General features: G+C 41.6%; 1 long non-coding RNA gene across 2 annotated transcripts in view, besides 3 other annotated features; it reads left to right on the plus strand.

Annotated features, from left to right (window-relative positions):
* Positions 1-214: 214 nt before the first annotated feature.
* LOC105375825 (uncharacterized) overlaps positions 215-25241 on the plus strand; it is a 47970-nt gene continuing 22943 nt past the window's right edge. Inside the window, exons 1-3 of one of the 2 annotated variants that reach the window (XR_001745894.2) lie at positions 215-480; positions 2975-3047; positions 4350-4429. This is a non-coding gene — a long non-coding RNA (uncharacterized LOC105375825). The remainder of the gene's footprint in view (positions 481-2974; positions 3048-4349; positions 4430-25241) is intronic. The other variant, XR_928859.3, reaches the window with a different exon arrangement.
* Positions 7973-9172: an enhancer, noted in NCBI's record as "P300/CBP strongly-dependent group 1 enhancer chr8:49700925-49702124 (GRCh37/hg19 assembly coordinates)". NCBI's record gives its function as "activates an origin of replication core promoter dependent on BRD2, BRD4, P300/CBP, MED14 and CDK7 cofactors, with strong dependence on P300/CBP, by STARR-seq in HCT116 cells {active_cell/tissue: HCT116}" and the evidence as "EXISTENCE:reporter gene assay evidence [ECO:0000049][PMID:35650434]".
* Positions 8382-8481: an enhancer, noted in NCBI's record as "active region_27333". NCBI's record gives its function as "activates an Ori minimal core promoter by ATAC-STARR-seq in GM12878 lymphoblastoid cells {active_cell/tissue: GM12878}" and the evidence as "EXISTENCE:reporter gene assay evidence [ECO:0000049][PMID:35858748]".
* Positions 18663-19225: an enhancer, noted in NCBI's record as "NANOG-H3K4me1 hESC enhancer chr8:49711615-49712177 (GRCh37/hg19 assembly coordinates)". NCBI's record gives its function as "activates a minimal SCP1, AML or CMV promoter by ChIP-STARR-seq in naive H9 embryonic stem cells {active_cell/tissue: H9 hESC(naive)}" and the evidence as "EXISTENCE:reporter gene assay evidence [ECO:0000049][PMID:30033119]".

Here is a 25241-nt window from a genome sequence, read left to right on the forward strand (position 1 = left end):
TTCTCCAGGAAAGAAATCATCCCTTACAGCTATGGTGTGAAACTCAAGCACAGGACTCTGATTTGGAGAGCACCACTAAAGGATTTACTTGTGCTCTGGTTACATGGTGGAATCTAGCAGAGAAGCCCAATGTATCCTGTGCGGTCACTTTGTCTACCTATCACCCACGTGTTTGCCCCATTTTGTTTGTTTGATCATATCACAGGTTCCAGCAAGGGTTTGAGAGGACATAACAAAGGCACAGAGGACCCTAGGAAGCTGATTGCCTATGCTCAGTTACATTGGCTCTTGCAGGACTGGACATTTGGCTGAAGTCACAAAACAGACACAAACAGAATGAAGCCAGTGGTGACGACTGAGAAGCTGACCCGCCTCTGGCATTTGTCCGTATCCACACTAGAGATGGAACTCCCAGGTGACTTTTGGGCCTGCCAGTTTCCCATGCACAGGGCCACTGAATCCGGCTGAGAGAAGAGAGCGGTGAGATATTTATTTTGCTTTTTTCCTCAATGGTTTTTCTTTTCTTTTAACACTCTGGTTTTAATTCAGGGCAAGTTTGTTTAAAGTCTCATGAAGTAATTTATGATACAATAAGTCAAATAGATATTATATTCTTTTTCTTGTTAAAACTCTTGCGTCTCTTATTTAGATTTCCATGGAAAACCCTATGCTGTAAGATAGTTAACTTTTTAATATCTACAGCTGATGCATTCCTAACTATACAGTTATATGTGTATTTATATGCATATGTATGCATTATACCGTTAATATATGTACATATATAATTACAAAGAAGAAAAACTTTCTAATCACATTTATAAATTGAAGATCATAAAAGAATGGCATTTAGCTCAGTTACCTAAGAGTGACTGGCTCACAGTATAGAGGCCACTTAAAAAGTATTTATTGAACGAATAAATACAATCAGTGGGGATGCGACTAAGCATAAGCATTTCTGTTCTCAATGGAAATTATTCTATGGTGGTTATTTGATAACTTAGAAAAGCCTTCATGTTAGAATAAACATCTAAGGGGTATATTTGAAGAAAGAAAACAATATTCTACTTATTAAAATGATTTTCAAAGGTCTGGAATTTTACAGAATCTCTCACAGGATTAAAAAAACACAGAAACTATTACTCAAGCAATAAGCCCCACAATCTCTAAGTTATACATTTGCTGAACAGCTTCTTTTTGATGTTAAAACAAAACAAAATGAAAAGCACAAAACCCTTCCAACAGAAGAAAGCTGAAAACCAAGCAAACAAAAAACGGATCTATTTCTTTAGAGCCTATTTCTGTGCATGTGCTTCAGAGCACTTCCACTGAGATTTGGCTGCATGTGACAAAAAATTAGAAAGAGGCAATTTAGCTGCCTGCCTGGTGAATTTTTACAAATGGGCTACTTTTATTGGAATCTAAAGATTTTGCATAAAAGGAACTCCAAAATGTGAGTAAAAAGAGGTTTGACATTGAAGGCATGTCTGGCAAAGTGCTTAGTGCCTTCTGAGCATGAATTAAGTATTTCCTGTGTGTGGAATGAATGAAGGACCAGCCACAGTGCTTGCTGTGCTTCCATGCAGTTGGCAAACTCTGTGACTTGCCATGCCAGGCCATGGCGTCTTAGCAGGTGGCATGCTGTCCATCCGCAGCACACCCTAGACCAAGGAGGCATCATGGAGGCCTCTGCTCCCTCATTGCCTTTTAAATTCCTCCAGCATCTTCCTCTCCTCTGATCGCCTGGCCTTGGTCAGGAGCTCCGATTATGCCTTCATAGACACATTGCTGTTTCTCATAGTAATGGTCATATTTTGCAATTATACACTGATTTTTATTTGAATAATGCCGTTTTAATGGAGTGTTAGTTCCATGAAGGCAGTGGAGATTTGGTCACTATTGTATCTCTAGCATTTAGCACAGTGCTAAGACCTGTGGAGTGTGCTAAATACAGATTTCAAAATGAATGAATAAGATCACTGTAACAGTAATGACCAAATTACTGTGGTTCTGACCGTCACCAACTCAGATAGGCCCCTTATAGAGCTCCATCACCTGTAAGGACTGCCTCTGTGGGTTTGAAAAGCTCCACTCCTGGTTCTGTCCACTGTAAGGACTGCCTCTGTGGGTCTGAAATGCTCCCCTTGTGGTTAAAGTGTCACCCTTGGCAGATGTTCTCTCAGCCCTCCACCACTGGCGGTGCTCATGGGGAAAAGGCAAGACTGGTGTCAAGTAATGACCATTACTGATATTCCTGAGGCTGCAGATACTCAAAAGGGTCCCGTCTCTGCACCCAATACACAGACTACCACCTGCTTGTGACCATTGAACAAAGGCTACTTGCAAACAACTTCTCCACTGCTGAGACATCAGCCCAATCCCACAGTAATCCTCATTGCCTTTTATTTCTCCATTCTTAGGACAAAGTAATAATGGTCAAAATATCCTTCTTCTACAATGACAAAATATCCCATATTGATGTCAAAGTATGTTACTGCACCCCCAGGGGGACCACCCCCAGTTCGGACCTGCTCTGCAAACCGTCCCATAAGTGACTAATTTATATGCTGAATCCTTGGTGGGCCCAGCTTCAGCACTTGGGGCACCACTAAGGTAGAAAAATTCCACCACAGTTTTTCATGTAAACTCTACTCCTTTTGCATCCTCCAACGACTATTGAATGGTGCAGCTGAAGCCAAGCCCAGGCTGAGGAAACTCTGCAGAGCTCCTTATTCACTACATGGGGAATGCCATCAATGTGGTGCCTGTGTCTGTGAATGGTTAAGTATTTTTGGCTTGGTCTTGAGAGCTCATTGTAAAAAGAAATGTGATGAAGGAGAAAGACATCAAAGTTAGAATTGTATCTGCTAGAATCCTGACTCCCTCCCTGCAGCATTGACACCTTGTAAGTGCTACTAAGCACCTATTGGCATGCGTTTCTTACTAAGTGGTAAATGTTAATCACCACTGTGCTTAGCTATTGTGAGGATTCGGTCTGCTGCACAGGAAAGCACTTGGAGCAGAGTTCGCCCTTGACACTCCATGGCAAGGTCAGTGATCAGTCTTCCTTTCTTTAATTAACTGCTTGAGAAAATGTATGCAGCTTATACTCCAAATCCCCCCAAATCCTATTTGAGCTCTGTGCTTTCTTGTCTACTTTATTCATATGACCACCTTAAACGTTCTTCATTTCCTAAGTCAAGCTAGGAAACGTAATTCATTGCATGAGGGAAAAGCTACTTTCTGGGAGTTCTTTGTTTGGTTAGGCTGTATGCCTCTTTGTGCCATGGTATTGATTTATACATGGCATAGGTATATAGACAGTACCAGAGCAAAGTTATACAAACATGGAAAACACAGTCTGGTCTTCACATTCAGGACCTCCTCTCTAGCCAGTGTAAGCTGCTGCCTGAGCGTGGCTGCCAGCAGCTCCACTGTCTCACTCTGTAGACCAGTGCACACTAGGACAGCCCGGAGGGGAAAAACCTGGGGACCCTGGAAGGGGAGTATTTTGGAAGATTTTTCTCCATCCTAGCCAATCTCCACCATTCTGTGTTGGGATGAAGTCAGCAAGGCATCATTTGGGTAGGAGGGGATACTTAGACTTATTTACAAGGTTGACTTATCCTGGAGGAAAAACAGTGGCTTACGGAGTGACCTGACTTGCTTCACTTTTAAAGACTGTATAGAAATGAACACTCACAACCTATCTTTTGGAAACTTGTTCTTTTGACGTGGAATCATGTGCATGTTTCTTGACTTATGTCATAAAAGGTAATAGAATGGTCTCACTTTTTGGTAATCTAAGCATTTAGGAATATGAAATTTATCTTGCATAAGAAAAGATGTTAACACATTGAATTTCCAAGTTATTCAACTAGAGTAATTTTTGCTAAAATTTTGTAAATGCTATCAGAAATCTCATGAATATAGTTTACAATTAAGAGTTCTATTTCTGCTAATGACTGTGAAAAGAAAATTATAGACCAATGTTTCTAAGGAACATAAATGCAAGAATCCTAAATAAAATATTAGAAAACTGAATCCAGCAATCTACAAAAAGGACAGTACATTATGACCAAGCAGGGTTTATACTAGGAAGGCAAAGTTGGTTTAATATTTAAATATAAATCAATGTAGATTACTTTGTTAACAGCATAAAGGAGAATTATCTGATCATGGCTGTAGATACAGAAAAAGCATTCATTAAAGTTTAATACTCATTCATGATAAAAACTTGCAGTATACTAGGAGTAAAAAGGCATTTTCTTAATCGATGAAGGATCTTGATCTAAAATACCCCTACATCTGATATCATGTTTAATGGTGAAATATTGAACATCTTCCCCCAGAGATTGAGACCAAAGTGAAGGTATCCATTCTCATTACTTGAATTCAACATACTACCGAAGGCTCCAGCCACTGTAGCAAGGTAAGAAATATAAATAAAGGGCATAATAATTGCGAGAGAAGAAGTAAAATTATTTTATTTGCAGATGATATTATGGTTTACACAGCTATCTAAGGAATCTTCAAAGCAACTGCTAGAAACCATAGTGAATTCAGTAGTTGTAAAATACATGAACTATATACAAAAATGAATTGTATTTCTATATACTTGCAGCAAAGACTTGAAAAATTAAACAAAAATAATCCATCTATAATAACACACATACAAAATAAAACAATAAGTTCAAGAAAAGACATCCAAGATTACTACATTGAAAACTATAAGGCACTGCTGAGAGAAATTACAGGAGGCCTAAATGAATGGAGAGTAATAACCATGCTCATGGCTGGAGGACACACTGTCTTTCTTGTGTTGTTTCTCCTCAAATTGATCTATTGATTCAACACAGTCTCAACCAAAATTCCAATGGCACTTTGTAAAAGAAAAGGCCAGCTGATTCTAAAAGATATTTGGGAAAGCAAAGCACCTAAGAAAACCGATACATTGCTGGGTGGTGGGGGTTGTGTGGAGAAAGAGAAACACATTGGAGGACTCATTATCTGACATCAGTTTTTTTTCTATTGACCTATATTAATTATAATAGTGGGTTATTGCTTTAAGAATAGACAAGTAGATCAATGGAAGAGAATGGAGAGTTCAGAAACAGACCTACACATACATGGTCAAGTGATTTTTTTGACAGACGTTCAAGGCCATTGTTGTCATCAGAATGACACCTGTTCAGCTACATAAAAGTGTGAAAAAATGACTCAATCTTTATCATTCACAAACACACAAAATTAATTTAAGATGTATCATAAACTTAACCACAAAAACTAAGAGTCTAAGGCTTCTGTAAGACAACACTGAACAATATCTTTGCAACCTTTGAAGTAGGCAAAGATTTCTGAGGGAGGACAGAGCAAGTTAAAAACAAAAAGGAAACAAAGACTGATAAATTGGACTTCATCAAAACTAAAACTGCTCATCAAAAGAAACCATTAAGAAAATGAAAATGCAAGCTACAGATGTAAATAAAAATATTTACAATACATATATGTGACAAAGGACTTCTATAAAAATAAATACATTACATATATAATTCATTTAAATGTGCAAAAGACACTTCTCTAAAGAAGAGAGGAATGGTCAACAAGTACATGAAAAAGTGATCAAGATCCTACAAAAATGCAAATGAAAACCATGACATACAATTTTATACGCATTAGCATACTTAAAATTGGAAAGACTGACAGCACCAAATGTTGACAAGGCTATCCAGCAACTGAAACTCTCAAATGCTGCTGGTGGGAATGTAAAATGGTACAACCATCTTGGAAAACAATTTGGCAGCTTCTTATAAAGTTAAACATACAGTTGCTTCAGAGCCCAGCCATTCCATTTCCAGGTATTTACAAGAGAAATAAAAACCGAAAAAGACTAAAATAAGAATATTCATGGCAGCTTTGTCTATAAAAGCAAAAACATGGAAAAAACCAAATGTCTGTCAAAAGAGAATGGATAAACAGTTTGGTAGCCATAAAATGGACTACTACTTAAAAATAAAAGGAAACAAACTATTGATAAATAAAACATCATGCATGAATCTCAAGAACATTATGCAGAGGGAGAGAAGTCAGACCCTAAAAAGCATATACTTCATGATTCCATTTGTATTAAGTTTGAGAACAGGCAAAATTAATCTATGGTGGTAACAGGCAGAAGGGTGGTTGTCTCTGCACGGGTGGCATTGTCTAGAAAGGGATATGATTGTATTCTTATAGTCTGTGCATTTCCCTGTCTGTACATTTCACCACAATACAATAAAAATGCAATCTTAGAAGTCTAAGTTTGCTGAGTTGTTCTTCAGTGTTTACTTTATTAGGAATTGGAGAGAGCGAAGAGGTTTAAGCTTTGGGACAGGAAACAGACCAAGGAAACAAACCCCAAGGGCCGAGTGGGTGTGGCATGAGGAAGGATTCTCTCCTGATGACAGGCTGTTTCTAGCCCAGTTCACTCCCACCTGCCCCTAAGGACCCATTTCAACTGTCCATTCTATTTGGGTTAGAGGTAAATTGCCAGAAATAGAGACAAATTAAAATGCCAGATTGATTTCCTTTATTTTCTCCTTCCTATTTTGGTGACTAGGGAGAGGTCTGGAAATGTTGATAACAATTTTAATAGAGACAAAAGCAGAGACCAGGATATACTACCATTTTTCATATTTTTTTTCTCTAAAATTCATTAGATTCTGAACCTTTCTGACTCTGGAGTTTTTCTATCCGGACTCCGTACATCCCATGAACTTTCATTACCTCATGGTGTTCCTTCTGCTCAGAATTCCTTATTCTGCTTTCTCTTTTAAAAATTCTTTTTTTCCCCCCAAATGCAATTCTAAATATCATGTTTGTCAAACCCACTTCATTTGAAGGAACAGATTTGTGTTTTACTCACAACTTTGCTCCCAGCACCTAGAACAATGACTGGCACTTAGAGGGTGAGCAGCTCCTTCCCTCATTTTCAATCAATCAATCATCAATCAGTCTGTATTATGCATTCACTGTTGGTGGGCTGAGCAGTATCACCGCACACCATGCATACCCACTGACTTCCTCAGGCAGCATAAACGGCTCCTCCCTTTATATTCATACAGCAGAGGCATTAGTGGGTTGCTTGTGTGTGTACTCATTCCCTCTTTGTAGAACCTAAGCTTTCCGAGAGGCGTCTGAGTCTTGATTGTTTTTGTTGGAAAAGTGCAATGTCTGGTATACAGTAAACATGCAACAAAATCTTCAATGAAGGAAGGAAGGAAGGAAGGAAAACAGTACTCACCAGAGGACAACAAAACTTTCAGAAAAACTGTGGTGTTTTGTCCTGGGTGTAAGAAGGGGTGTGTGTGTGTGTGTGTGTGTGTGTCTCGTGTTCCTCTTCTGCATCCACTTTGACATCTTGGGAGGATGGGATTTGCCAACACACATTCACTGTGACCTGGGAGTACAGCAGGGATTCCCTGTCCCAGTGGAGCTGGCTCCCTCCCAGCCCAGTTCAGGGAATATGGGAGTGGACTGAGATGGATTTACAAGAGGGTCTTCTTCACCTGAAGCACCAGGAGCTCTGGCATGTCACTGGCCATTCTCATGAGGTGTGGGAGGAGCTCCAGGGCTCCTCTGGCCACAGTGACAGTGGCAGACTCTATGGCAAACCCATGGGGCTAGTTTGTTGTGAACTTTGCCCAGAATTCAACACAACACCGACTTTATGTGTAGCTGTGGAAAGGGCCTGGCATCTCCTTGGTGGGGAGAAAGGCAGTGATGACCATGGGCCAGCTTCTGGGCACCTCAGGGAGCAGCTGGTGGGGACTGACCAGGTAAGGAGGTTAGCGTGCACCTGGCAGCAAACTAGGCCAGCAACTCACCAGTGCCAGTGAAGCCCAGGGAAAGACAATTTAGCAGCTTTAGAAGCTTTGACTACCCTTTCATGTCGTCTGTTAGATTGAACGATATAAATTGAGGATATTTGTCCATTTTTGACTTACCAAAATATCAGTTTCATATACTTCAATCTAATCTTTATTTTTTAGTACCTGCTGTGTTTAAAGTTTAAGGTGCATACATCCCAGAAAGAAATAAAAAGAAATACCGAGAAATGAAAGAAAGAGAAAGAGAAAAGAAATAAAAAGAAAGAAATTGTAAAATCAAAAGTACCATTTTCCCCTTTTTTTGCAGGTGACTTAGGGACAGTTATGAGCATGAGACAGGAAACATTTATGGTGGGGAAGTTAAAACATCATTTCTGAGAATTCTAAGTGTGGCTCTTTTTCTCCTCCTGGGCACCCCAGCAGGTCCCTCCTTTGTATGGAAATGGTTTCTACTTTTCTTCCAGCCTTAATGTGACTGCATGGCAGCCATGGTGCAGAGCTGGGAGTGGTCAGAGTGAGAGGTTCAGCCGAGGAGAGACCTGTTAGTCACCGTGTGCTGGCTGGAGGTTGGAGTGTGCCGGTGTCCACTTGACTGGCTTCCAAGGGAAAGGTAGACAGCTGCATGACAGACAGGCCTGGTCACAGCAGGTTACGATGCACTGTGTCATCCGGCACACCAGGCAATTTCCTTTTTGAGTCACTTTTCAGCTAAGAATGAATCATGCTCCACCCTCCTTTTCAGCCCTTTATGCTTGCCGGCTCTGCAGCCAAGATGGGAGGGAGGCCATTTCCTCTCTGCTGAGAGCAGGTCAGCAAGGAAGCTCCTGAGAGTGCAGCCCTTTCCCTGCTGGGCGGAATCTGCAGGAGAATGCCTGGTCCCCTTGTAAGGTGGCCCCTCCAGGAGCGGGGTGGCCAGCCCCAGAGCCTTCTACCACCTGGAGGCAAACCCTGAACCTGGAAAGTGAGAGGCGGGGCCAGGCCATTTGCTAGTAGAGAAATGTAGGAAAGTTCCTTTTCTGTGTGTGTTTTCTCTTGACTTTAAAAAATCATAAGCTTGCCCATGGAGCTTTTGTGAGAGGAGAGATTTGACCAGCTCTGTGCCTGCCCCCTGGGTCCTTAGCTGGTCGCTTTGTGCTTTGTCACTAGAAAAGGAAGATGTATCTAAATCACTATCACTAGATTTGGCCAATGGAATTTTTGAAAACGTTTTCCATTTTCTCATGGTTTTGAAAAGTCTATACTTACCAAGAATTTGGCTTTAAGTTGTTGTTTTGTTGTTGGCAACTTTCTTTTGTTCTCTGTTTCGTTTATCAACCTATAGAAACAGGTCAAAAATTAAATGACTCCTTATACAAGGCAATTAAAGACATGAATGTGGGTGACGGACTCTGAGCAGAGAGCCTTTGCGATTCTCTGGCAGGAAGGAAGAAGCCGCGGGTGTGGCGGAGGTGAGGTGGCCGGGCCCCTGCTCCCTCGCGCTGGGCTGCGTGCTCTGGATGGGGTGGTGTCAGGGCTCTGCGCCTCCGCCCGGCGGCCTTCCAGACCTGACGCCTTATTCGGAGCAGCGAAATGGAATCCTGAAGCCTGAGAAAAAGACAGGACTCATCAGGGGATCTAAAAGCTGGTGCCTTGCTTTCAGGCCAGGTCCAGGGTTGGGGGATTCCCGGGGAGGCGCCAACTCTGAGAAGCAGGCTTGGTGCGCGCCTTTGCCTTCGCCTTCTCCTCCAGGCCTCTTCCATTCCCTCCTGGAGGGCTCCCTTCCAGCGGCGGAGGCATGCCTTTTGGATTTTCAGGGTTTTTTCAAGAGTCTTCAATTTAAAACGAGTTTCTTTAGAAAAAGATTCCTACTTTGCTTCAGGACGGATGCTGTGGGTAGAGTGGATGGCGGAATAAGGGGTAGGCGCCAGGCCCCAAGTGGAAACAAGCTCCCAGGGGCAAAGCACTCCTAGTTCCTGACCCTTTGCCTCCCAGCCACACCTTAGGTCTGACTGTCACACACCCAGGAGTATCCTGAGCACAGCACCCCTTGCTCAGACTCCTTCAGTCATCATCCGCTGCTGGAGAAACAGCGTCCAAACTCATCAGTCTGGTGTCCAGGGAGCCCATCTATCCGCCTGCTCCTCTTGCTCCCTTGGCCCCAGCGTGCCTGGGCCCGAGCCTACCTTCTGCATAGCCGGTCACAGCTGCACCTCTGTGCCTCTTTTCCTTTGCTGACTTTGCTCTCTTAGCCTATAACTTGCTTTCTAGTTATGTCCATGCCCCTTCCTTCTAATTGTTGAAATCCTAACCATTTTTCAAAGGCTATTTATCTACTCCACAAAAGTGCCCCCAATCCATTAAGACAATGTAAGTCTTGCATTTATTTATTCTTCCCTGGCACCTTGCATTTATTTATTCTTCCCTGGCATCATGACCTGAGACGTCATGATGATAACGTCTTCTGCCTGGCCCACCATCAAAGTTATTTGATGGCCAGGTCCCTGATGTGCTCGTCTTTGGACACTCTGTTGCACTGAACGCAGTGGCTAGGTTGGAGTTGTTGGTTCAGGATCCAGTTTAACAAGAAACTGAGCCTATAAAAAAAAGACAGGTTTTAATTGTTGAACGAGCCGCTCAGATGCAAAATGAACTTCAGGGTACTAGCAGGTTCAGAAGTGGTGTGTGGCTGCACAGCACCTGCCTGCTTGATGAGGGTCTGGTGTCAAGGAAATAGAAGGATTCGGGGATCAGGACTGCCCTGTATTGCTTTGCAGAAAATGTAGAAGCCACAGCCATCATCCAGATTGTATTCAGGGAACCAAATGTTGCAGAGAGCCCTGCTTTGAGACCCCCTGCCTGGGCCCACGAATACCATTCCTCTTATCCAGCATTGACTTAATTTTAGAATAGCAGTATCTTAGAATTGGAAGGTACTGAGGAGATGACCTTGTTCGAATTCCCAACCAATACTAAGGTCTCTTCATCGGGTCCATGCATCCTTCAGCAGCATGCACTGTGGTATTTGGAGTCATGCCCCTTCCAGGAAGGGCTCATACACATCAGGCCCCTTTCCCCTCACCAGCCTGGCCCTCAAACATGGGGCCTTGCAGAGAATGTCAAGGGACCATATATAGAGGAAATCTTACGAAAGGCTTGAAAAGAGTCCAGCAACTTGGTAGAGACACTGTACCACTGTCCCTGTGCCAGTCAGCATGCCTCCTCTTAAGGAAGGAGTGAGATGCTGACAGCACTCCATTCAGACTCAAAAAAGACCAAAAAAAAAAAAAGCCATCTTAGTGATAAATTTCTGTAATCACTCTTAAAAATCTCACATATTGTTAGATCTTCCAATCTGCTTGTAAGGAGCCTAGGATTAATACTTTTCAGTCTGACTGGAGTTTAGCATAAGCTGTTATGCATGAGTAGGGGTTAGTACAAATGCAAGGACATTTAGGATGTAAGTAATTCATTCATGGTAGTTTCAGAGCTGACTGAGGGGTTTCTCGCTCAGAGGAGCGTTGATGAAGAAAGAACTTCACTGAGAGGGTGAAGCCAGCTCATCATAACTCTGTCTGCTGGCCTTAGGAGACGGATGCATCCATCAGATATATCCAGTGCATCAGGAAATGATAATGATAAGGAGGTCTTTTTCAAAAACATAACATCCTCTGTTATATACATGGGATATGTGCTATGAATGGAGTTTTCAGAGAATGTAAATGAGACATTTTCCACACTTCTTTTCCTAAGATTCTTGAGCGCTGTTTATAATTCCTTCAGAGGGAGCAGGGAGGTTGTTGTGATGCACTTTTGGACTATGGAGTTCTTGTTTTCTCTCTCCTAGATGCAGATGCTTCGCATCTGTGACTGCTTGCAGAGTCCTTCCTTTGAGCCATTGCCCCCTGCTGTTATTTTGCCACCTCATCCAAGATGCCAAGAACTCTCAGGACAAGGCTCAAGATAAAAACAAAAGATCAGAGCTGAGCACACTCTCACACACAGGCACACACATGAGTGTGCACAGGATTCCGAAGCCTCCAGGATTGACTCTGAAGCATGCAGGCAGAGGTGTGTTTGTATGGGGAGGTACGGATGTTGAACTGAGCAGCACCTCCTTTCTTGTGATCTGGCCATTTGTCTTGAAAGAACCAAGAAGAGACAGGCCTGAATCCCGGAGCCATCAGAGGACCCCAAGCAGCAGGGGCTTGCTGGTGGAACAAAGGGCCTTCTGACATGTGTGAGGGCTGTGTTTTGTCGACTAGGTATCACATTCCAGCCACAGCATGACAGACAAATGTCAGGCCAGATGAGGAGATGCAATCTGCTCGACCAAATGCATCTTTACCTGGCTCATGTGATGGGAGCAGATGCTGACTCAATACGGGTGCAGGTGCAGAAAAAAAAAGGAGGAAAGCCCAGACACTGAGGCATAGTGCTGTGAAAGCCCAGAGCCTCCAGGGAGGCTCACTTTTCCACATTATTGATCCAAACTTCTATGTGTCATAGATCTTGTCTGTGCTATACCTTGTTGAAGCTTTCTGGCAGAGGAAGCCTGAGGGAATCTTTGACATCTGGAAACTGAAGGCCATTATACAAATACCAGTCTTTCTACTCCCCTCCTTGTGAGATGGACCTGAAGAGTCTCCCATCATTTGTGGCTGCCACATCCATCCTTGATGATAGGACTGTATTTATGCTGCTGGGTGTCTTTGGAAGGGTGCTAAGGGGAGACTGCCTCAGTTAGGCAGGGCTGGTGAACTCCTTACTCCTGACCTCTCCTACTGACACAGGAAACTTCACTTTGTTTATTAAGGAAGCCCAAGCTTGTGTCACACAAGAGTTTTAACATTGTACAGTGAACCTTGAAAATGGCCAGTGTCAACCTTACTAAATAGCTCTTGAGATCAGAGTTCCGAAATTTTCTGATTATTGTTGTTTTTCCAAACATTATTTATTGACATCTTCTGTTAGTGCGTCATGTGTTCAAATGGCAAACGTTGACATCTGGTTATCCACGGGGACACTAATATGCCTCCTTCTGCAACTCCTTTTTCTTCTTCTTCCCTGTATCCTTCCTTTTCTTCTTACTACTACTATTATTGTTATTGCTTCCTCTAGAATTTGCTCCATCCTTTCTATTTTGGATATTTCTTTATTCACATAAAAACTGACTTCAGAGGCATGAAATTGCTCAAATTCCTGCCTTCTTTGCTGCCCTTAAAGCTGTTCTTTTTGGAACTGTTTACTTTTTTAATTGAAATTTTTGCTGAGATGATGACAGATCCACATGTAGTTGTATCCTTTAACCAGTTTTCCTCATTGGAACATCTTGCAAAACTATAGGCTTGCAGTATTACAACCAGGATGTTGACATTAATATAACCCACTGTTCTTCAGATTTGCCTAGTTTTACTTATTCTTATTTGTGTGTGTGTGCATGCAAGTATTTAGCCCTGGGCAATTCTATCCCATGAATATGTTTGTGTCTTCACTACCACAGTTAAGATACTGAGCAGTTCTTTTATTTTTTTTTGCTTTTAAAAGCTTGAGTATTTATTAACTGGATTCCTTTAAAGTAAGGTTTATACCCCACCACACAGCTAAAATTCTGTTAGAGCCTTTTTATTAATTGTTTTTTTATTAAGTTATAATTTTATTAATAATTTTTTTTTCTTTTTTTTATTATACTTTAAGTTTTAGGGTACATGTGCACATTGTGCAGGTTAGTTACATATGTATACATGTGCCATGCTGGTGTGCTGCACCCACTAACTCGTCATCCACCATTAGGTATATCTCCCAATGCTATCCCTCCCCCCTCCCCCCACCCCACCACAGTCCCCAGAGTGTGATATTCCCCTTCCTGTGTCCATGTGATCTCATTGTTCAGTTCCCACCTATGAGTAAGAATATGCGGTGTTTGGTTTTTTGTTCTTGTGATAGTTTACTGAGAATGATGATTTCCAATTTCATCCATGTCCTTACAAAGGACATGAACTCATCATTTTTTATGGCTGCATAGTATTCCATGGTGTATATGTGCCACATTTTCTTAATCCAGTCTATCATTGTTGGACATTTGGGTTGGTTCCAAGTCTTTGCTATTGTGAATAGTGCCGCAATAAACATACGAGTCCATGTGTCTTTATAGCAGCATGATTTGTAGTCCTTTGGGTATATACCCAGTAATGGGATGGCTGGGTCAAATGGTATTTCTAGTTCTAGATCCCTGAGGAATCGCCACACTGACTTCCACAATGGTTGAACTAGTTTACAGTCCCACCAACAGTGTAAAAGTGTTCCTATTTCTCCACATCCTCTCCAGCACCTGTTGTTTCCTGACTTTTTAATGATCTCCATTCTAACTGGTGTGAGATGGTATCTCATTGTGGTTTTGATTTGCATTTCTCTGATGGCCAGTGATGATGAGCATTTTTTCATGTGTTTTTTGGCTGCATAAATGTCTTCTTTTGAGAAGTGTCTGTTCATGTCCTTCGCCCACTTTTTGATGGGGTTGTTTGTTTTTTTCTTGTAAATTTGTTTAAGTTCATTGTAGATTCTGGATATCAGCCCTTTGTCAGATGAGTAGGTTGCAAAAATTTTCTCCCATTCTGTAGGTTGCCTATTCACTCTGATGGTGGTTTCTTTTGCTGTGCAGAAGCTATTTAGTTTAATTAGATCCCATTTGTCAATTTTGTCTTTTGTTGCCATTGCTTTTGGTGTTTTGGACATGAAGTCCTTGCCCATGCCTATGTCCTGAATGGTAATGCCTAGGTTTTCTTCTAGGGTTTTTATGGTTTTAGGTCTAACGTTTAAGTCTTTAATCCATCTTGAATTGATTTTTGTATAAGGTGTAAGGAAGGGATCCAGTTTCAGCTTTCTACATATGGGTAGCCAGTTTTCCCAGCACCATTTATTAAATAGGGAATCCTTTCCCCATTGCTTGTTTTTCTCAGGTTTGTCAAAGATCAGATAGTTATAGACATGCGGCGTTATTTCTGAGGGCTCTGTTCTGTTCCATTGATCTATATCTCTGTTTTGGTACCAGTACCATGCTGTTTTGGTTACTGTAGCCTTGTAGTATAGTTTGAAGTCAGGTAGTGTGATGCCTCCAGCTTTGTTCTTTTGACTTAGGATTGCCTTGGCGACGCGGGCTCTTTTTTGGTTCCATATGAACTTTAAAGTAGTTTTCTCCAATTCTGTGAAGAAAGTCATTGGTAGCTTTATGGCGATGGCATTGAATCTATAAATTACCTTGGGCAGTATGGCCATTTTCACAATATTGATTCTTCCTACCCATGAGCATGGAATGTTCTTCCATTTGTTTGTATCCTCTTTTATTTCCTTGAGCAGTGGTTTGTAGTTCTCCTTGAAGAGGTCCTTCACATCCCTTGTAAGTTGTATTCCTAGGTATTTTATTGTCTTTGAAGCAATTGTGAATGGGAGTTCACTCATGATTTGGCTCTCTCTTTGTCTGTTATTGGTGTATAAGAATGCTTGTGATTTTTGTACATTGATTTTGTATCCTGAGACTTTGCTGAAGTTGCTTATCAGCTTAAGGAGATTTTGGGCTGAGACAATGGGGTTTTCTAGATATACAATCATGTCATCTGCAAACAGGGACAATTTGACTTCCTCTTTTCCTAATTGAATACCCTTTATTTCCTTCTCCTCCCTAATTGCCCTGGCCAGAACTTCCAGCACTATGTTGAATAGGAGTGGTGAGAGAGGGCATCCCTGTCTTGTGCCAGTTTTCAAAGGGAATGCTTCCAGTTTTTGCCCATTCAGTATGATATTGGCTGTGGGTTTGTCATAGATAGCTCTTATTATTTTGAAATACGTCCCATCAATACCTAATTTATTGAGAGTTTTTAGCATGAAGGGTTGTTGAATTTTGTCAAAGGCTTTTTCTGCATCTATTGAGATAATCATGTGGTTTTTGTCTTTGGCTCTGTTTATATGCTGTATTACATTTATTGATTTCCGTATATTGAACCAGCCTTGCATCCCAGGGATGAAGCCCACTTGATCATGGTGGATAAGCTTTTTGATGTGCTGCTGGATTCGTTTTGCCAGTATTTTATTGAGGATTTTTGCATCAATGTTCATCAAGGATATTGGTCTAAAATTCTCTTTTTTTGTTGTGTCTCTGCCTGGCTTTGGTATCAGAATGATGCTGGCCTCATAAAATGAGTTAGGGAGGATTCCCTCTTTTTCTATTGATTGGAATAGTTTCAGAAGGAATGGTACCAGTTCCTCCTTGTACCTCTGGTAGAATTCGGCTGTGAATCCATCTGGTCCTGGACTCTTTTTGGTTGGTAAACTATTGATTATTGCCACAATTTCAGCTCCTGTTATTGGTCTATTCAGAGATTCAATTTCTTCCTGGTTTAGTCTTGGGAGAGTGTATGTGTCGAGGAATTTATCCATTTCTTCTAGATTTTCTAGTTTATTTGCGTAGAGGTGTTTGTAGTATTCTCTGATGGTAGTTTGTATTTCTGTGGGATCGGTGGTGATATCCCCTTTATCATTTTTTATTGTGTCTATTTGATTCTTCTCTCTTTTTTTCTTTATTAGTCTTGCTAGCAGTCTATCAATTTTGTTGATCCTTTCAAAAAACCATCTCCTGGATTCATTAACTTTTTTGAAGGGTTTTTTGTGTCTCTATTTCCTTCAGTTCTGCTCTGATTTTAGTTATTTCTTGCCTTCTGCTAGCTTTTGAATGTGTTTGCTCTTGCTTTTCTAGTTCTTTTAATTGTGGTGTTAGGGTGTCAATTTTGGATCTTTCCTGCTTTCTCTTGTGGGCATTTAGTACTATAAATTTCCCTCTACACACTGCTTTGAATGCGTCCCAGAGATTCTGGTATGTTGTGTCTTTGTTCTCATTGGTTTCAAAGAACATCTTTATTTCTGCCTTCATTTCGTTATGTATCCAGTATTCATTCAGGAGCAGGTTGTTCAGTTTCTATGTAATTGAGCGGTTTTGAGTGAGATTCTTAATCCTGAGTTCTAGTTTGATTGCACTGTGGTCTGAGAGATAGTTTGTTATAATCTCTGTTCTTTTACATTTGCTGAGGAGAGCTTTACTTCCAACTATGTGGTCAATTTTGGAATAGGTGTGGTGCTGAAAAAAATGTATATTCTGTTGATTTGGGGTGGAGAGTTCTGTAGATGTCTATTAGGTCCGCTTGGTGCAGAGCTGAGTTCAATTCCTCGGTATCCTTGTTGACTTTCTGTCTCGTTGATCTGTCTAATGTTGACAGTGGGGTGTTAAAGTCTTCCATTATTAATGTGTGGGAGTCTAAGTCTCTTTGTAGGTCACTCAGGACTTGCTTTATGAATCTGGGTGCTCCTGTATTGGGTGCATATATATTTAGGATAGTTAGCTCTTCTTGTTGAATTGATCCCTTTACCATTATGTAATGGCCTTCTTTGTCTCTTTTGATATTTGTTGGTTTAAAGTCTGTTTTTTCAGAGACTAGGATTGCAACCCCTGCCTTTTTTTGTTTTCCATTTGCTTGGTAGATCTTCCTCCATCCTTTTATTTTGAGCCTATGTGTGTCTCTGCACGTGAGATGGGTTTCCTGAATACAGCACACTGATGGGTCTTGACTCTTTATCCAGTTTGCCAGTCTGTGTCTTTTAATTGGAGCATTTAGTCCATTTACATTTAAAGTTAATACTGTTATGTGTGAATTTGATCCTGTCATTATGATGTTAGCTGGTGATTTTGCTCGTTAGTTGATGCAGTTTCTTCCTAGTCTCGATGGTCTTTACATTTTGGCATGATTTTGCAGCAGCTGGTACCGGTTGTTCCTTTCCATGTTTAGCGCTTCCTTCGGAGCTCTTTTAGGGCAGGCATGGTGGTGACAAAATCTGTCAGCATTTGCTTGTCTGTAAAGGATTTTATTTCTCCTTCACTTATGAAGCTTAGTTTGGCTGGATATGAAATTCTGGGTTGAAAATTCTTTTCTTTAAGAATGTTGAATATTGGCCCCCACTCTCTTCTGGCTTGTAGGGTTTCTGCCGAGAGATCTGCTGTTAGTCTGATGGGCTTCCCTTTGAGGGTAACCCGACCTTTCTCTCTGGCTGCCCTTAACATTTTTTCCTTCATTTCAACTTTGGTGAATCTGAAAATTATGTGTCTTGGAGTTGCTCTTCTCGAGGAGTATCTTTGTGGCGTTCTCTGTATTTCCTGAATCTGAACGTTGGCCTGCCTTGCTAGATTGGGGAAGTTCTCCTGGATAATATCCTGCAGCATGTTTTCCAACTTGGTTCCATTCTCCCCATCACTTTCAGGTACACCAATCAGACGTAGATTTGGTCTTTTCACGTAGTCCCATATTTCTTGGAGGCTTTGCTCATTTCTTTTTATTCTTTTTTCTCTAAACTTCCCTTCTCGCTTCATTTCATTTATTTCATCTTCCATTACTGATACCCTTTGTTCCAGTTGATCGCATCGGCTCCTGAGGCTTCTGCATTCTTCACGTTGTTCTCGAGCCTTGGTTTTCAGCTCCATCAGCTCCTTAAAGCACTTCTCTGTATTGGTTATTCTAGTTATACATTCTTCTAAATTTTTTTCAAAGTTTTCAACTTCTTTGCCTTCGGTTTGAATGTCCTCCCGTAGCTCAGAGTAATTTGATCGTCTGAAGCCTTCTTCTCTCAGCTCGTCAAAGTCATTCTCCATCCAGCTTTGTTCCGTTGCTGGTGAGGAACTGCGTTCCTTTGGAGGAGGAGAGGCGCTCTGCGTTTTAGAGTTTCCAGTTTTTCTGTTCTGTTTTTTCCCCATCTTTGTGGTTTTATCTACTTTTGGTCTTTGATGATGGTGATGTACAGATGCGTTTTTGGTGTGGATGTCCTTTCTGTTTGTTAGTTTTCCTTCTAACAGACAGGACCCTCAGCTGCAGGTCTGTTGGAATACCCTGCCGTGTGAGGTGTCAGTGTGCCCCTGCTGGGGGGTGCCTCCCAGTTAGGCTGCTCGGTGGGCAGGGGTCAGGGACCCACTTGAGGAGGCAGTCTGTGCGTTCTCAGATCTCCAGCTGCATGCTGGGAGAACCACTGCTCTCTTCAAAGCTGTCAGACAGGGACATTTAAGTCTGCAGAGGTTACTGCTGTCTTTTTGTTTGTCTGTGCCCTGCCCCCAGAGGTGGAGCCTACAGAGGCAGGCAGACCTCCGTGAGCTGTGGTGGGCTCCACCCAGTTCGAGCTTCCCGGCTGCTTTGTTTACCTAAGCAAGCCTGGGCAATGGCAGGCGCCCCTCCCCCAGCCTCACTGCTGCCTTGCAGTTTGATCTCAGACTGCTGTGCTAGCAATCAGTGAGACTCCGTGGGCGTGGGACCCTCCGAGCCAGGTACGGGATATAATCTCGTGGTGCGCCGTTTTTTAAGCCAGTCCGAAAAGCGCAATATTCGGGTGGGAGTGACCCGATTTTCCAGGTGCGTCTGTCACCCCTTTCTTTGACTCAGAAAGGGAACTCCCTGACCCCTTGCGCTTCCCAAGTGAGGCAATGCCTCGCCCTGCTTCGGCTCGTGCACGGTGCACGCACCCACTGACCTGCGCCCAGTCTGGCACTCCGTAGTGAGATGAACCCGGTACCTCAGATGGAAATGCAGAAATCACTCGTCTTCTGCATCGCTCATGCTGGGAGCTGTAGACTGGAGCTGTTCCTATTCGGCCATCTTGGCTCCTCCCCCCATGCTGAGCAGTTCTATTACTTCAGAGATCCCACCTTTCTTATTAATTCACTTTATTTTTTTACAACACCTTTGGATTAATGAAGAAATTAAGCAGATAGCACAGAGACTTCCCATATGCCTCTCCCGCTCCCATATAGAATTTCTTTTACTGTTAGCATCTTATGTAGCTGTGGTTTATTTGTCACAAATTAATGATAAATTATGATTTATCACAATATTGATAAATTATGATTTATCACAATATTGATAAATTATGTAACACAAGTCCATACTATATCCAGGTTTCTTGGGCTTTTACCTACTGCCCCTTTTCTGTTCCAGGATCCTGTCTACAAGGGTACACTAGGTACACTCTACCTTTAGTGAGCATGTCTTCTTGGGCTGCTTTTGATTGACTATTTCTCAAACTCCCTTCTCTCTAGTGACATTTACAGGTTTGAGAAATAATGGACAGTTGTTTTGGCAGATGCCGTCTGATGTTTTTCTCATGATTAGACTGACGTTATGGGTTTTGGGACGAAGATCACAGAGGTAAAATGCCATTTTCATCACATCATATCAAGGGTACATACTATCAATAAGATATATCACTTTAAATGTTGGCCTTGAGCTGGGCGCGGTGGCTCACACCTGTAATCCCAGCACTTTGGGAGCCTGAAGCGGGTGGATCACCTGAGGTCAGGAGTTCTAGACCGTCCTGGCCAATGTGGTGAAACCCTGTCTCTACTAAAAATACAAAAAATTAGCTGGGTATGGTAGCCTGTGCCTGTAATCCCAGCTATTCAGGGGGCTGAGGCATGAGAATCACTTGAACCTGGGAGACGGAGGTTGCAGTGAGCTGGGATCACACCACTGCTCTCCAACTTGGGCAACAGAGCAAGACTCCGTCTCAAAGAAAAAAAAAGATGTTGACCTTGGTCACCTGTTGAAATAGTGTTTGTCAGGCACCACTCCTTTTCAACATCATAGTAGAAGTCCTAGCTAGTGCAGTAAGACAAGAAAAGGAAATAAAAGATGTATAGATGGAGAAAGAAGAAATAAAGCCATCTTTGTTTACAGAAGACATGATCATCTATGTAGAAAATCCCAAAGAATCGACAACCAAAAACCCTTTTAGAACTAATAAGCGATTATAGAAAGTTTGCAGGATACAAGGTTAGGATCCAAATGTTAATTGTTTCTCTATATACTGGGAATGAATGATTGGAATTTGAAATTAAGAACTCAATATCCTTTATATTAGGACCTCAACAAATTAAATAGTTAGGTATAAATCTCACAAAATATGTACAGCATCTTATGAGGAAAATTAGAAAAATCTGGTAAAAGAAATAAAAAAATAAAAAATAGAGAAGTATTTTATGTTCATGTATAGGAAGGCTCAATATTGGCAAGATGTCACTTCTTTTTAAATCCTACAATCAAAATCCCAGTATTTTGTGGATATTGACAAACTGATTCTAAGTTGATATGGAGAGGCAAAAGATCCAGAATAGCCAACACAATATTGAAGAAGAACAAAATTGAAAGACTGGCACTACCTGACCTCGAGACTTACTTTAAAACTTCAGTAATCAAGATATCAAGATATCATGGTATTATTGGAAAGAATGGACAAATTAATGAAACAGAATAGAAAAACCCAGAAATAGACCCACATAAATATAGTCAGCTCAACTTTGACACAGGAGCAAAGGCAACACAATGAATCAATGATAATCTTTTGAACAAACGGTGCTGGAACAATTGGATATTTACTGGCAATCAAGCAATCAATAAATCCAGACACAGACTTTTTTGACATTTGTCAACATCTATAGAATGCAATTTCAAGAGTGAACCTTAAGGCTAACTATGGACTTCGGGGATACTGATGTGTCATTGTAGGTTCATGATTTGTAACAAATGTGCCACTCTGTTGGAGGATGGTGATTGTATGATAGGCTGTTATATGCTCTTGTTCTACAATAAATCCTAGTCAATTGCCTAGATAATGCCATCTGTAGATGGTATTTCAACTCTGAAAACATCCAGTAAATGGGACTCATGACTTACTGAGACACCGTATTCTATCCTTGACCCATTCTAAAGTTTTAGAAAGTTTCTATGTGTATATGGTTTCCTTTGGTTTGCCCACTTAATCAAAACAGAGCAAAGAATACCCCTCCTTCACATGAAAGTCCTTCAAATGGCTCAGATAAAGATCATGTTATATCTCACTTCTCTCTGTCCCAAGTCTTCTATTTTCCAGCTAAAATCAAACACCCAAAACACCAACAAACTTATCTTCTGGTTCTTTCTACTGTTCCTCTTATGGAGTGATTTCAAATTCTGCCCCCATCTGATCTCAAACCCCAATTACCTCCATTTGGAAGTGCCCTAATCTCAATTCACCCTCTTGGCCCATGTCCAGACACTGCATTTATATCAACTTGACCCAAGACCACACTACTGTTTTGTTACACTCATACAATAGCTTTCGTTTAATAACTATTTATTGAGCAGCTACTTTACTGAGAGATGTTCAAAATGGGAGTCAAGGCCTCAAACCAGGCAGAGGTTTTAGGGATCCCATAAGGTGTTTTCCACAATGTATTAGGAAGAAAATGGTAACAAATGTCCTAATAACACAAAGGACAGAAGGATCACATTGGCCAGGAAGACACAAAAAGTTTTATGATGTAAAAGGCTTTTTGAATCAATCTTGATGAGTGGATATGACTTGGAAATATCCAAGGAGGAGGTACATGGCTAAATTGATTGATATTTAATTTCCATTCAACCATTAACATATTTTACCAAGAGCTGAAGCTGGGCCTTGTGTCCCTATGTACATATTAGCAACATTGTTTTCTGTTTTTTCTCTTAACTTTTAACCAAATGTAAAGCATTTTAAATCTCTATTAAGATTTAAAGATTTAATGAAGCCCACCAGTCTAGACACTTGGGGTGTTTTGGTGTCCTCATCTTGCTATCCAGCCTGCTACATTCCCTACCCAGCTTCCGGTCACCCAGCAATTTAATACGTTTTCTTTCCACTCCTTCCTCCAGATGGTTAAGGAAAAGAGTGGCCAAGCCTGAGCTGAAAACAGGCCTGAACTCACACTGGAAGCTGCCCTCCACAGTACCCTTGATCACATTTATCACTCGTTGTCTCCTGCATTCTTCAACCCACATGCCAAAGGACAGAAGGAGACCCCGATAGACGCCTTCTTGGAATCCTGTTTGCCATGTATCCCTGATTTGCCAGCTGGACAACAAAGGAAATCAGGCTTGTTGGCATAGCTCCTTATTCTTTGTAAACCTCTGGTGACTTGAGTGATCACTGTCTCCTTTCTAAGCACTTGCACAGCATCCTTGGATTCTTGCCTAAGTTCTGCAGCAGGATTTCATGTCTGTAGTCAAACTGGACACTCACTTCCCACGTTCCTGCTCTTGGTGTCATCTTTCTAGTCTCCTCCCCTGTCTACAGGCAGTCATGATGACCCACAGTGGAGCAGTGGTCCTGGCCACCCATTCGTTCAACAAGTGTAGACAGTTTATCTATTTGGGTATATAATTTATTTTGGCCAAGAGGCTCAAACTACTATTGAGAAAAGTTAGAAGCAAATCACATTTTTCTTATGGTCTTGTTGGGCTTAAATTTCCTCTTAACAATATTTGTTTTGCCCGTTCTGTCCAAAATGATTTAGTTTGATGGGGAAGACTGAATTAACATAAAAATTGAGTTTTGGTTTCTGTTTATCATTCATCAGCCTTTCCCTCACTGACCTCTGGCAGGAGATCTATCTTTTCAGTTCCCTTTGATTCTATGAGGACAGCGTATGATAGTTTAAGTGGGTAAGAACATGGCTTTGAAGTGTGCACCTGGACTAGATGACCGCTGCCCTGGAGCGGGGGACCAGGCTTTTCCAGGTTTCTATCTTCTGCCCTAAAAAGTGTGGCTTATGATGCTGTCCCATCAAGTCACTATATAAATTAGAAGAAATTAGAAGTCTGTCTCTCATAGGCACTCTCTAAGTGCCAATTCATAAGCTGTTTTTTTATTCAGGTATTTGTTTAAGTTTACAAGTTTTGTTCCCTTGGTGTTTTCACATCTTTAACATGAATATTGCATGCTATGTCACTCTGTTGCATGGATCCTTGCTCACATCTCATCTTTCCATTTGTGGGCATGCTTTTCCTTAAATGCAAAGGATCAATTAAGACAACATGAATACATAGCATAGTGTTTAGTTAAAAAAAAAAGTCAGATACAAAATAACAAATTTGTGGGATTTCATTTATAGAATGTCCATAAGCAAGCAAAATGAAGTGTAATATTTAGATGCATACTTATGTATGAGAATTATTCATACCAGCAGGTGAGTGACCCTCACCACTCACAAGTAAGGTCCTTCAGAGGAGAGGGAGGGTGGAGGCCTGGCAGTTTACAGGGGCCTGGGAGTGGTTAGACTCAGGCGGTGAACATGGTGTGATGATGTTATGGTGACTCAGTATGCCATCTATCCATATTGTATGGATGTTTGTTTATTCGTCTTGTGCTTCAAAATAATTTGCTTTAAAAAAGGTTACATAAAGCTAATTTAAATATATATAACATGTGAAGATGGGAGGAATAAGCATATTTTATTACAAACTTAGAAAATGCTCATTAAGCTCGATTAGATTTTACTGTTATTTTAAAGTAAGAAGGACCAAACAAATGATGAGTATCTTTGCTCTGCCTTGAAGTAATCTTTATCATTGAAGCTGAGGGCTTCTCTTGTGACTTCCGTCTTCAAGCTGGCAATTCCTGTCTGATTTCAACGCAGGTGTGCCCCGGTGTCAGGTTGGGGTGTATTCCTGGAGGCTTCGTAGATGCTATGCTGGGGAAACTCCTGTGCCCCCACCACTGTTTTGTGTGTCTTCTCCACTCCACCTCAGGCAGCTCCAGCCCTCCACCCTCCCCTACAAGGCAGCCTCTCAGTCTAGTAAAGCAGTGTTGGGTCGGACGCAATTGTGGACCAGAAAAATAATCCAATGCACTGCTTTAAACCTGTGACTTTTTTTCCCCATTCCTCTCATCTTTGGACTTAATTTCATAGGTGAATAAAATCCCATAGAACCCAATGCATGTCTACAATAACGAAGGAAATGAGTATGAATATTTTTCAAATAGCACATTGTAAAGAATGTACCAGCCATCCAGCAAAACAAATTTCTTTTGCATGTACAGTACAGCTATGTGCTCAAAGCTTGGAGAAATACGCTTCCGGTCCTGACAGGATGCAGTGAACACATTTATCTTTGTTCTCCCCCACTAAGTTCACCTATAAACTGCGGAAGTAACCAAAGGAAAACAGTGGAAGGTAGTAAAAGAAAGGTGAATCGGCTTGGGAAAAAAGTGGCAGCAGGATGTCTACAGCTCCTTTATCAACAGAAGGCAGCCCAGACCCTGGGCTTTACAGCAAACGGCAGCCCACATGGGCCCATTCCTCCCTGGAATGGGAGGGGCTCTCTCACAGCACCACTAACAAGGGTTTCCTTGACCGGCCAGGGAGTGCAGCTCCTTCATTCCCTCTCCACCCAGAAATACCGATAGGAGGATTTCATTACAACAAGCCCCGGGCCAGGAAAGCCTCTTCGTTCCGACAAGCCTGAGACTCCCTGCCCCATGAGGACACACTGGAGTGGGCTGGCATGACCAACCCGAGGGTCC

This window comes from Homo sapiens, chromosome 8 (genome assembly GCF_000001405.40).
Source record: "Homo sapiens chromosome 8, GRCh38.p14 Primary Assembly".
Lineage (NCBI taxonomy): Eukaryota > Metazoa > Chordata > Mammalia > Primates > Hominidae > Homo > Homo sapiens.